We start from the raw sequence: 12,528 nt of genomic DNA on the forward strand, positions 1-12,528 counted from the left end.
AGTCACATGAAAAGGTCAAAAGAAATGAATACCTTTAGAAGAAAATATTTCAAACACAATAACTGCTCTATTTAAAAAATGCTATGGATTGCAAAACCTTTTACAAATGAATGTATTATTACTTAACTTGTTATGGGCTGGCTGTAAAAGGGCAGCTCAGCCTACTCACCCCTCTGCCGTGGCACTGCATTGCACACTCGTGAACCCCAAAGACACTAATATTTTGACATTGACGATTCAGGCAGATCTGTAGGAGGAGGAAAACACAGCAAATCTCTTAGTATTTCTCCAACCCCTCCAGCATGCATACATACCTGTATTCAAACAAAAAGCAAGCAAAAGAAAGCTTGGAGAAGACCCAACCTTGTCTCAGTTAATACGGATGGAGCATAACAATACATTTTATACTGGACTCAGGCATGGATCTTATTGCCTGACTCCTCCAAACTCAGCACATTTTGAGACTAAGTTCAATGTCAACACTATTAAATTATTTTGCATTTTATGGCTTTTAATATAACTTTCAGTTGATCCTAAAATTATAACTGATTTTCTTATGAGTTTTGTTTGGAGCTTGTAAAGAAATCTATGTACTGCAGTATTTTTTTCTTCCATTAAAAGATACAGGAGAGGGCGAGGTTGGGCACGGTTGCTCACTCCTGTAATACCAGCACTTTGGGAGGCCGAGGCAGGCAGAACACGAGGTCAGGAGATCGAGACTCTCCTGGAAAACATGGTGAAACCCTGTCTCTACTGAAAATACAAAAATTAGCTGGGTGTGGTGGCACGTGCCTGTAATTCCAGCTTCTTGGGAGGCCGAGGCAGGAGAATCGCTTGAACCAGGGAGTTGGAGGTTGCAGTGAGCCGAGATCATGCTACTGCACTCCAGTCTGGCGACAGAGAGAGATTCCGTCTCAAAAAAAAAAAAAAAAAAAAAAAAAAGATATAGGGGAGGGCGAGACAGATTACTCCTTATCCCAGGGCCTGGATAGACATAGATGGAGACTCCAAGAATCCAGGGTTGAAGAGTCTTTTAAGGGAGAGGTTGAAATATGGGAACTTTTTCCAGATACTGACTGACAAGTAGTATCATCAATGACATAAACCATCAGCAACGAGGCTCAGCAGAGGAAAACAGACGGCTCCTTGAATTTATCAAGCTGTTGTAGTGGTAGGCATTTCCTAAGTGATACTGGGCTGGCTGAAAGAACTCAGCCTCATTTCAAATGTGCATAATATACTCCAGACTCAAGGGATGCAGCCCTTTATCTCCTATAAGATTTTACAAATCCGTGGAGTCAAAGGAAAAAGAGTCTAACGTTCAAATGGCAGAAGAATTTTTAATCAAGTAGAACCTTCCTATTGAGGAGGTCACCATCCGACCCCAACAGCTCATATAAGGGCAAGAGGCATAGCCTTTGGGAGAAGCGCTGGCCCAAGCAGCACTGAGGGATTCCCACTCGGTGGGTGCGAATCCTGGCCAAGGGGATGGTCACATTCCAGCTGATAAAAGAACCTGTCCTGGATTACAGTGAACACAGCAGGACCCTCATGGGAATCACTGCGGATCCCTGAGCCCTCAGAGAACCAAGGTTCTGAGATCAAAGCACATTTCATCTTGAACGTGGAAAACAAATTTGATGATAAATTGAGCCCTTGGAATTGGAATGTCCAGATGCACCTGGCCCTGGCTGTTCAGGCTACAGTTTAAAAAAAAGGTGTCAGTCAGAATGGCTGTTATTAAAAAGTCAAAAAACAACAGATGCTGGCAAGGTTGTGGAGAAAAAGGAACACTTATATACTGCTGGTGGAGTGTAAATTAGTTCAACCATTGTGGAAAACAGTGCAGTCGTTCCTCAAAGGCCTAAAACAGAAATTACCATTTGACCCAGCCAACCCACTACTGGGTAATACCCAAAGAAATATAAATCATTCTATCATAAAGACACATGCACTCATATGTTCATTGCAGCACTACTCACAATAGCAAAGACATGGACTCAAACTAAACGTCCATCAATGATAGACTGGATAAAGAAAATGTGGTACATATACACCATGGAATACTATGCAGCCATAAAAAAGAATGAGATCATGTCCTTTGCAGGAACATGGATGGAACTGGAGGCTGTTTTCATAAGCAAATTAATTCAGGAACAGAAAACCAACTACCACATGTTCTCACTTATAAGTAGGAGCTAAATGATGAGAACACATAGGCACATACAGGGGAACAAAACACACTGGGCCTATCAGAGAGTAGAGGGTGAATGAGGGAGAGGATCAGGAAGAATAACTAATGGGTACTAGGCTTAGTATCTGAGTGACAAAATAATCTGTACCACAAGCCCCCATGACACAAGTTTACCTGTATAACAAACCTGCACATGTACCCCTGAACCTAAAAGTTAAAAGACAAAATATGATTTGAGCCTAAAAATATCAGATGTCATTTTAATGTCAAGGCCTGAATATGAGCAAATGTGGGTAAGGAGACATTCAGAATGTATAAGAAGATTCATGTACGATCCTATTTCTCAAGGAAAAAGGATTTGTGGCTCAGGGTGTGTGGGGCCAAAGACAGGAGAGTGGAGGCAACACCTGTCCTCAGGATTCTGTCTCTGCCTCTGTCTTTTCTTGCCTGTGTGACCTCATGTTAGTGAGTGATTTCAAGACCATGTTGAAAATGGAGTCCTAAGAAGCATTTGGGGGTTGTTTCATCCTTTTCTTAAAACATTGTATTCGCTTGCTGTCATTTAGTCTGATGAGAAAGTTTGGTGAAAAAAAAAAAATCAGTATGGCAGAGCATGAAAATCTCAAATTCTTTTTTTCTTCCAAAAAAAAAAAAAGTTTGACTTTATTTCTAAACCTCAAAATATCTCCATGTATCTTTCTCCCTGTTCTCTGAAAGGACTCCCCTCTGGTTTTGAGTTTCTTCCACTCCTTTCCCTCTCCTATTCTTCTCTCTACAGGGTTCTAAAAATACATCTGATTTCCCATTCTGTTCAGGTGAGGACAAGCCCCCAAGAACTCTGTGCTAAAAACCAAGCCACATATCCAAAACCAATAGAATATGCGATTGTATTTCTTTCCAAAGTAATTTCCTGGCTAGAAGTCCTCATGCCACCTGGAGTGTAGAAATGACTTATTAACACTCAAGGCCTAAGAAGACAGGCTTGATTTTTCCCCAATCTGCATTTTAATAGTCAGACCAGGATCTAGGATTTATTGACTTTTTCTTCTAGGTGCATCTGAGAAGAAGTAGATTTAGGAAAACCAACAAACCTTGTAACCCAGTTCTTGCTGTTTTTCAATGGGCCCTGTTCCAGACTTACATTTATGATCCAAGCAAACATTTGGGTCTTACTTTTCCATCTGCACACTTTGTGCCTGCAAGCACAAGCCCTGGGTCCGGCATGTCATCGCCCAAGTACACGTGGGTCCCCCGGCACAGAATCCGGCCTCCTTGCTGCAGGGGGATGTTTGTTTCTATGGAAACGGCATTGGTACCAATGACTGGCCGGCTGGCACCTCCTTGACACTGGATTTTTCCACATTTAGCATCTCTGGAAGGGTAAGAACAAACAATTCCCAAGGAGAAACCATTTGGAACCAACCCTATGCAATGTGGGAAGGTCAGAGCAAAGACTTTGCCAGGATGTCTGGATTCCATACCTCATCTCGCATTTGGCAAAGGAACTCTTCGAGACTTTGCCACAGTTGCCATAAGGATCACCTGCAGAATTGACTCTCTCAAAGCAGATCCCAGGGGCAGGTTTAGCACCTGAAACAGAAGCAGAACTGCATTTTCATCTCCTGCAGGTGATTTTTTTTTTTTCATGGCTGTAGGCCTCTCAAATGGTTACGGGGAGACGTGCTCAAAGCAATCACACCCAGTGTCTGTCCCGACTCATGGTGGGAGCTGGCCAGGGGAAGCCTAGGGTGTCAGCAGCTCGCATCCTCTCTTGACTCGGCCTCTGGCAGAGCACATGTTCCAATGCTTACTCTTCCTTAGGTCTGCTCTCTGGGCTTGTGGCATGTGTGGCCTCTCAGGAAATGAGGCCTGGCTGTGGAATGAGATCTGATCCAGGGCAGAAAGGAGGTGGCTGGCTGGCTGGCTGGCTGGCTGGCTGGCTGGCTGGCTGGCTGCAGAGAAGGGGAAGTTTGCTCTCTTTAACAACATCCCACACAATTCCGGTGAGGAAATGCAAGCCAGGGCAGGCTCCAAAGGAGCAATGAAGATATCTTCTATGATATTTTTAGTCCCATAAAGCTCCCTATAAGAGAAAGTACTACCTTCTTTTAATACCTTCTATTTTATTTGCAAGGCAGAGATTTCTCTCAGAGGCCATGGAGTCATAAACCCTGGTAATCCCTATGTACAACATGACGGTTCCCAGCAAAGAGGGTCATGGCAGCCAGAGAGCTCAGAAATGGCCATTTTTAGCACATCTTCCAGCCACGGAGAGAGCACATATAATCAGCATTTGCAGCCAAAGTTCTGGAGGACTCCTGAATCCTGGACATAGTGATGTCTGTTGAAGACTATTGAGCAAGTCAAGAAAACATGCCACATTCTTTAGAACAAACCATGCCCTGCGGCGTGGTCCCTTTTCTCTCCCTGATTGGTGTCCTGTTTGGCACTTTATCTCACATCGCTTCTGATGGCCAGGATGCCGACACTCCAGAGCCTCACTCTGACTCCTGCCCTTCTCTGCTCTCCACCCTGGGGAGGCTTTGCTTTCCAAGGTGACAACGGATTTATTTAAGATACCTCGTCCCAGGGAACAGAAGATGTTCTTCTTACTAAAAACATCCCCCTTCGTTAGCCTGCACCTGATCCCTTCTCATCAGCTACTAGCAGACATGATCATCTCATTCAACACACACGTGCCACACCACCTTGCCATCATTTGATGTGAACAGTGTGCTCAGCGCTCCAATCTCTGCAATGAGCCAGCCTTGCACCTCTCCTTTTCTCATTTCTTTTATAAGCCATGTTAGAGAAGCCTCTGCAATCTCTTTTTTCAGGGGCATTAGCCCAGACTGGACACAATTCTCTGTCATGGAGAAAGATGAGGTCCCTAGCTCCTCACATCACATGCCCTTTCCTTCCATCTGTTCCACATCTGCCTTGCTCACAGTAGGATGACACCACCGACACACTCAGCTCCTATTAGGGACCTGATTTGTCCGCATTCTGCCTTCTTTTTCTCTTTCGTCTATCTGTCAGAGCAGGGAAGGATGGGGAGGGAGAGCCTCAGTGTGGAACCTGCACTTTGTGCTTAATTTAATCCTGTTTGGCAGCACTTTTGATCAAAGTACTGGGATCTGATTGATCAAAGCAGTTTGGAAAAACTGGCATCTAGAATAGTAACAATTCAACAATTGTTTGTGTTTTTGCACACACCCTATGTATTTGTTGCTTGCCTAACTCTATCTCCCTCCCAACCATCCTTCTTTCCCTCTTTTTCCTCCCTCCTTCCCTTCCTACTTCCTTCCATCATCCATTTATATACCCATCTATCCATTCATCCATCCATCCACTCGTCCATCCAGCCAGCCACCCAGCCACCCGTCCATCCATCCGTCCAGCCAGCCACCCGTCCATCCACCCGTCCATCCATCCATCCATCCAGCCAGCCAGCCACCCATCCATCCATCCATCCATCCATCCATCCATCCATCCATCCATCCATCCATCCAGCCAGCCAGCCACCTGTCCATCCATCCAGCCAGCCACCCGTCCATCCATCCAGCCAGCCAGCCGGCCACCCATCCATCCAGCCAGCCAGCCAGCCAGCCATCATGTTGCAGGCTTCAATCAGACACATGTATTTATTCAGCACCTACTATCTTCCAGACATTGGGAGTATAAGAGGGACCAAACTGGACAAACCTCCTGCTTGCTTGAAAATTGCAAGGAGACACAGAAAAAAGACCCAAATGATTATGTTCCTCTAAAGCCCAGTGTTAGGGAATGCTATGAAGGTAGAAACAGAGTAGGAGGGTTCAGGGGACTGTTGCTTTTAAAGGCAGGCTGGTCAAGGAAGACCTCTTAGAGAAGACATCATGAGCTGAATCCTACCATTTAATCCTACAAGGTAGGTCTCATTATTCCATTTTATGGACAAGAAAATTAGCACATCAGAGGTTAAATATATTTCTCAGATTCACATAGGTAACGAAGGCAGGATCATCTAAGGGTGAAGCCAGGCTTCTGGGCTGTTCCCTCCTGTGCTCCATCCTCACAGGTGCTGGACCCTGCACTGGGTCTCAGGTGTAGAGAGCAGATTAAGACCTGGCCCTGCAGCCCAAGCAACAACAGGTTCAGTGGATGTGGGGTGTGCTGCTGCAGCTGCCTGTGGAAGGGCTAAGAAAATGGGGCAGGAAATGGCTTTGTTGCTTCTTTCCCTACTTCATAAGGCTAGGACTCGGAAATACAAGCAGCTCCTAGTGACTGCTTAGCTCCTAGGAAATGGGTGGGTGGAGTTGACATCACTGTGCCATTGCACGCAATGCTATTCTGATGTCCTAGATTCTGCTACCTTTATTATAAAGTAATTTCTTTCTTGGGAATTGTGACCACTTAAAAAATACATATACCATGACACAATTCAAGTATGTCAGTTGATACATTTGTTTTCCTTATAGGGAGCTCTAAAGAGACTTTGGGCAGTTTCAGACACGTGAGCTTACAAACAGCTCAACAGCAGCCTGGGAGGAGAGTTGGACAAGGTTGGACTGGGGAGTACAGAAGGATAAAAACAAAGAGAGGAAGGGGGAGAGAGAGAGGACGAGAAAGAGACCAACCTCAACAGGGATTGAAGACGCTGCAAATGTACTGGCAAAGCAAAGGGGAAGCTTGATACGTGAATACCAGATAAAGGGCTATCGTTATGATAGGAAGTCAAGCAAAGGCATGGAAACAGTGTGTAATCAAGTATAAAAGCATTCTGGAAGTGAAAACACTGGATCTCTACTTGGGAATCCAAAGCTGAAACACACTGAGCCTTCTGGGTCAGAGTGTGACGTGGTTTGGATCTGTGTCCCCACCAAGTCTCATGTAGAATTATAATTCCCAATGTTGGAGGTAGGACCTGGTAGGAGGCGATTGGATCATGGGGGCAGTTTCTCTTGAATGGTTTAGCACCATCACCTTGGTGCTATTCTTGGGATAGTGAGTTGAGATCTGGTCGTTTAAAAGTGTGTGGCACCTCCCTTTTCCTTCTCTCTCTTGCTCCTGCTCCGGCCGCGTGATGTGCCTGCTTCTCCTTCACCTTCTGCCATGATTGGAAGCTTTCTGAGGCCTCCCCAGAAGCAGAAGCTACTCTGCTTCCTGTAAAGCCTGCAGAACCAAGAACCAATTAAACCTTTTTTCTTTATAAATTACCCAGTCTCAGGTATTTATTTATTTATAGCAGTGTGAGAACAGACTAATACAGGGTGTGCTTATGATTGTAATGCCCCAAATGCTGGTGGAGCAGCACAGCTCAGAAAACCAGGTGTGTGTAAGATGCAATGCCTTGTTTACCAATAACGCAGAAGCATGGTACACGCCCCAGCAGAAGGCCACCTGGCATTTCAGGAGCACCGCCATTCTCCCAAAGACAAACCCTCAGAAAGGCTTGTGGCCAATTCGAATATGTGAATTTTTACCAACACAGATGACACAGTCAAGCATCATCTTATAATATGCTGTCAATTAACTTAATGAGAAACAGTTAAAAGAATCACATTTTAATTTAGATTGTCTTAAAAAAAAAACCTCTCCCACACCGTGGAACAATTTTACTGAGATGACGTTTCCTTTGGTCTCAGTCTTTTTATTTTTTTTGAGAGAGAGTTTCGCTCTTGTTGCCCAGGCTCGAGTGCAATGGTGTGATCTCGGCTCACTGCAACCTCTGCCTCCCGGGTTCAAGCTATTCTCCTGCCTCAGCCTCTCATTTAGCTGGAATTACAGGTGCCCACCACCACGACTGGCTAATATTTTGTATTTTTAGTAGAGATGGGGTTTCACCATGTTGGCCAGGGTGGTCTCGAACTCCTGACCTCAGGTGATTCACCCACCTCAGCCTCCCAAAATGCTGGGATTACAGGCGTGAGCCACCGTACCTGGCCTGGTCTCAGTCTTCTTGCTTTCCATGGCACATTCCCTGCACTTCCGGCTTTCTCAAGATGCTGACATTTTTTCTTCTGTTATGTTATCACTGGAAATCTTGTTTCTAGGTTCAAGTACCCACTCTTCCAACACTTTTTAATAGAGAAAGTGAGCACTTTCTCTATTAGCCCAGTGGGTGTATATTCATAACCTCCACAACTGAACCACCCACTCTATTGCTTATGAAAGTGAACCCTTAAAAGCTCTTTTACCAGAATAACCAAAATGGGATGAAGTCACAGCCGAAGAATAATATTTAAGCATGTGATAGATGCACCTGCCTTTTTTTAAACCTGATTTTGTCAGGCAGCCTTGATGAACCTGCGTGGATGCAGGATGATGAGCGCCAAAGCGCCTTCCCACCTGCTCTGCGACATCCAAAAGGTGTGGCTGAGAGAGTGACAGGTCAGTGGTTAGCGATTCTTTTTGCTGGCTACTTTCAGGGGGAAGCCTTGTTTTATAGCTGGGCATGTATGGGGTCTAAGAAAAATACCTAATGCCTATCAGTCTTCAGCCTTTTTAGATTGCCCCCTCCTGTCTGACTGATCTACTCAGTAACCATGCTTCAGAGTTGGAAGAACAAAGGCTTGGAACTCGGGCTGATCTGGCATTCAATGTCCAAAAGGCCTTGTTGTACAAGCTCTCGAGGTTCTGTCCCCTCATCTGTAAAATGGGGACAAGGACCTGACTCAAAGGTGCTGTGGAGGTGCATCAGTGTGTAGAGCTCCTGGCATGTGGCAGACCCCTAGGAAACCCAAGTGATAATGAAGACCACCTTGGACTGTGGGGAAGGTGTGGCTTCTGGACTTTAGGGCTGGGGGTGTGTGTGGGGAGAAGAGAGTTCCTTGTACCAGCCCCTGCTCGCATCACTTACCACACCTGTAACGATTCATGATCACGTCAGTAGGGGCTTTACATCCATCTCCCTCACACTTCATGGTCTCCAGGGCCTTACACATTAAGGGCAACTAGTGGAGACTGTGGGCTAACCAGATGCCTCAGGAAATGAGAAGGAAAGAAGAGAATCTCATCTGAAACCCTAATAGTTTTTGCACATCCTTTGCATATAAATCAGAACTATCATCCAGCACAAGGATTTCAACTTCCCTGCACCCATCCCCTTACTCCTTTCAATGAGTGTGGTTCCCCACGGCCCCCAAATCCCAGCTGGTTCTGGGAACCCTCCTGGCCTGGGCTTCCAGACTCCCCCTGAGTCAGCACCCAGTGCCACATTGAAAGAGGCAGCAGGCAACCCTGGGCAAAGACCCTTGAGTCTGACTTCTCTTTATGCCACTCAACCCTAGAACAAAGATCATTTTCCTGTCATTACTCTCCTTGCTCTTAACAAACACACACACTTTAAATGAACGATACATTTTAGATCATCAGCAGGCCACTTGTAATTAAAGTATGGTGCTGGATACAGCACGCGGTATCATCTTTGATCCTTATAGCCACCCTGTAAGGTCTACATTCTCCCCATTTCAGAGATTTTCACTTAGACTCAGCGTTTTAGCAACTTGCCGAAGATCACAATGTAAATGGCAAAGTTGGGTTTGTCTCATGGGTTTAAAGCCAAAACCCATGATCCAGCCATGATCCTGTGCTGCCTTCCTCTTGGAAACCCCCTACTTGACTATAGACTCCTGTCCCTGCCATCCTTTCCTCTTCGGAACCACCAACATATTCTCCTGTAATCCAGCTGCTCATGGAGTCAACAACTTCTTCACCAAATCTTTTTCCAAAAAATCTCCTGACAGGTGAGGACGACAGCTGCCTCATGCTCATGTCTCAGGTGCTGAACTGACCTGGGTCACGGCCTACCCCCTGCACCTGAGCATGCTTAGTGAGATTTCCCTTTAAAACTGGGACAATGGAGGCAGGCAGCAGATATTTGTATGCTTTTTGTTGCATCTATACTGATTCAGGGAAAGAAATGAAAAATTCGGAGTAGAATGACTTGGAAACCTCTGAGGGAGCAGTTCCTCAAGAAATAAATCTCAGTGAAGTTTGGCCAGTAAAACTGACTCCACTCTGCCATTAATTCATCCAGTGGCTTGAACGATGCGAGGTTCTAAAGGTTAACTTTCTGTCTACCTCCAGGAAGGCAATAACGGTCACCTTCTAAGAGTTTCATTCATTTGAGCTTTCACCCAAAACATGAGGGAGTGAGGGATGCCATATCATACTTTACCACTGAAATATGGCCAGGAAGTGATGTCCCTGAGGCACAGCAATGATAGGGCTCACTGCCACATGGCAAAGAAAAGGGGCATTTGCAGGAGAGGCAGGCTATGATTTCATCAGCCATGTAAACACGGGGATAGGACAGATGCATTTCTCTATGGAATCAAAGGCCCGAATGCATACTCCAGCCCCTGTCATCTACTTTGTTCATTCTCTTCCCTGGAGAATGAAGAAAAGTGGCTAACTCACGGGTAGCCCCAATAGATACGATCTTTTGCTTCCTTTTATCAGTCCTCTGAAACTGCTGCTGCTTTAATTTGGTAGTGGTGGTGAGGGTTTGCAAGGAAGGTGGGAGGAAGATGGAGCAGAGCCCTGTTTACAATGCTTACTCTTGAGTGTGATATTCCCCTTCCTGTGTCCATGTGATCTCATTGTTCAATTCCCACCTATGAGTGAGAATATGCGGTGTTTGGTTTTTTGTTCTTGCGATAGTTTACTGAGAATGATGGTTTCCAATTTCATCCATGTCCCTACAAAGGACATGAACTCATCATTTTTTATGGCTGCATAGTATTCCATGGTGTATATGTGCCACATTTTCTTAATCCAGTCTATCATTGTTGGACATTTGGGTTGGTTCCAAGTCTTTGCTATTGTGAATAGTGCCGCAATAAACATACGTGTGCATGTGTCTTTATAGCAGCATGATTTATAGTCCTTTGGGTATATACCCAGTAATGGGATGGCTGGGTCAAATGGTATTTCTAGTTCTAGATCCCTGAGGAATCGCCACACTGACTTCCACAATGGTTGAACTAGTTTACAGTCCCACCAACAGTGTAAAAGTGTTCCTATTTCTCCACATCCTCTCCAGCACCTGTTGTTTCCTGACTTTTTAATGATTGCCATTCTAACTGGTGTGAGATGATATCTCATAGTGGTTTTGATTTGCATTTCTCTGATGGCCAGTGATGATGAGCCCGGGGTCGGGGGAGGGGGGAGGGATAGCATTGGGAGATATACCTAATGCTAGATGACACGTTAGTGGGTGCAGCGCACCAGCATGGCACATGTATACATATGTAACTAACCTGCACAATGTGCACATGTTCCCTAAAACTTAGAGTATAATAAAAAAAAAATTAAAAAACAAAAAAACAAAAAAACAAAAAAAAAAAACAATGCTTACTCTTATCCAGTTGGCCAGGGTGCCTTACCCTGGAGTCTCCAGGCTGTAATGAGAAATCTCCCATGAGGAACACGGATGTTTAAAGGCTAAGGGGTTTCAAATGAACCAAACTTCTAAGGACGCAGCGGCCGGAACTTGGTCCTGTTTGCAACACGCCCCTGCTGCCCCAAACTCCAATGTTAGGTTGTAGGATGGTACCATGGTGGGCTCTGGGCCACTTCCTGGGGCCAGGGAGCTGCCAGCTAGTGGTCGCCAGAGTGATTCAGCACAACTCCTTCCAGAACCACACACTGGCCACACCCCTCCAGGGTGAAATCTACCTGTGTGGTAGGAGGTTGCTCTGGGAGCTTGGAGCAGCAACAGCACTTTGTGAAAACGGACTGTGGGGTAGGAGACACAGGGTTATTGTTTTGTTGAACACCTCTCCCATATCCCTTCTTCTAGGAACGAGAACATTTTCCCCATGGGAAATCCATTTTTTATAGTTAATTGGAGCTAACTTTCCTATCTAATGGCAGAGGTATGCACATAAGATTGAATCAGAGAGGTCCATCCCACAGGTTATATGATCGGGTCAATGCTGGGCACATGACCGAAGCCAGGGGAGTCAGTGTCTTCCTTGGAACTCGATGCCTGAGCCAGCTGGATCAGGGTCCAGGGCTCCCGTGTCCTTCAGGGCTCTCCTCTGCCCCCAGCTTTGCCATGGAGGCAGGGATTGGCCCTCCTTTCCCTCCTCCCAAGGTTGTCTTCCTCTTGTATTTACCACACTTGCTTTTGCCTCCTGAGAGGCCCCAGGGCTCCTACCTGTGGGCAGGGATGCTGCCTCGGGCCAGCGCATAGCAGATGTGTTCCAAGAACGAATGAGTGAAAAGCCATTTGGGGAAAGCACATCATGTCTCCAGTGCCCTTCCCGGAGGAAGTCAACTGTGGTTCTGCAAACACAGCAGCCTGGGTAAATGAACGCTGTCTGCTGGTTTATCTTTTCTATGTC

At 45.7% G+C, this 12,528-nt stretch overlaps 1 protein-coding gene across 7 annotated transcripts in view, besides 1 other annotated feature; it reads right to left on the minus strand.

The window, feature by feature from the left end:
* ADAM12 (ADAM metallopeptidase domain 12) overlaps positions 1-12,528 on the minus strand; it is a 376,087-nt gene that overhangs the window by 33,495 nt on the left and 330,064 nt on the right. For all 7 annotated transcript variants that reach the window (NM_001288973.2, NM_003474.6, XM_017016706.2 and 4 more), the window contains 3 exons: positions 3,676-3,784; positions 3,368-3,566; positions 170-247 (listed from right to left, as the gene is read on the minus strand). In NM_001288973.2, coding sequence (NP_001275902.1) covers positions 170-247; positions 3,368-3,566; positions 3,676-3,784 — 386 coding nt within the window. The remainder of the gene's footprint in view (positions 1-169; positions 248-3,367; positions 3,567-3,675; positions 3,785-12,528) is intronic.
* Positions 3,413-3,913: an enhancer, noted in NCBI's record as "H3K4me1 hESC enhancer chr10:127737867-127738367 (GRCh37/hg19 assembly coordinates)". NCBI's record gives its function as "activates a minimal SCP1, AML or CMV promoter by ChIP-STARR-seq in primed H9 embryonic stem cells {active_cell/tissue: H9 hESC(primed)}" and the evidence as "EXISTENCE:reporter gene assay evidence [ECO:0000049][PMID:30033119]".

This window comes from Homo sapiens, chromosome 10 (assembly GCF_000001405.40).
Source record: "Homo sapiens chromosome 10, GRCh38.p14 Primary Assembly".
In the NCBI taxonomy this organism is placed as follows: domain Eukaryota; kingdom Metazoa; phylum Chordata; class Mammalia; order Primates; family Hominidae; genus Homo; species Homo sapiens.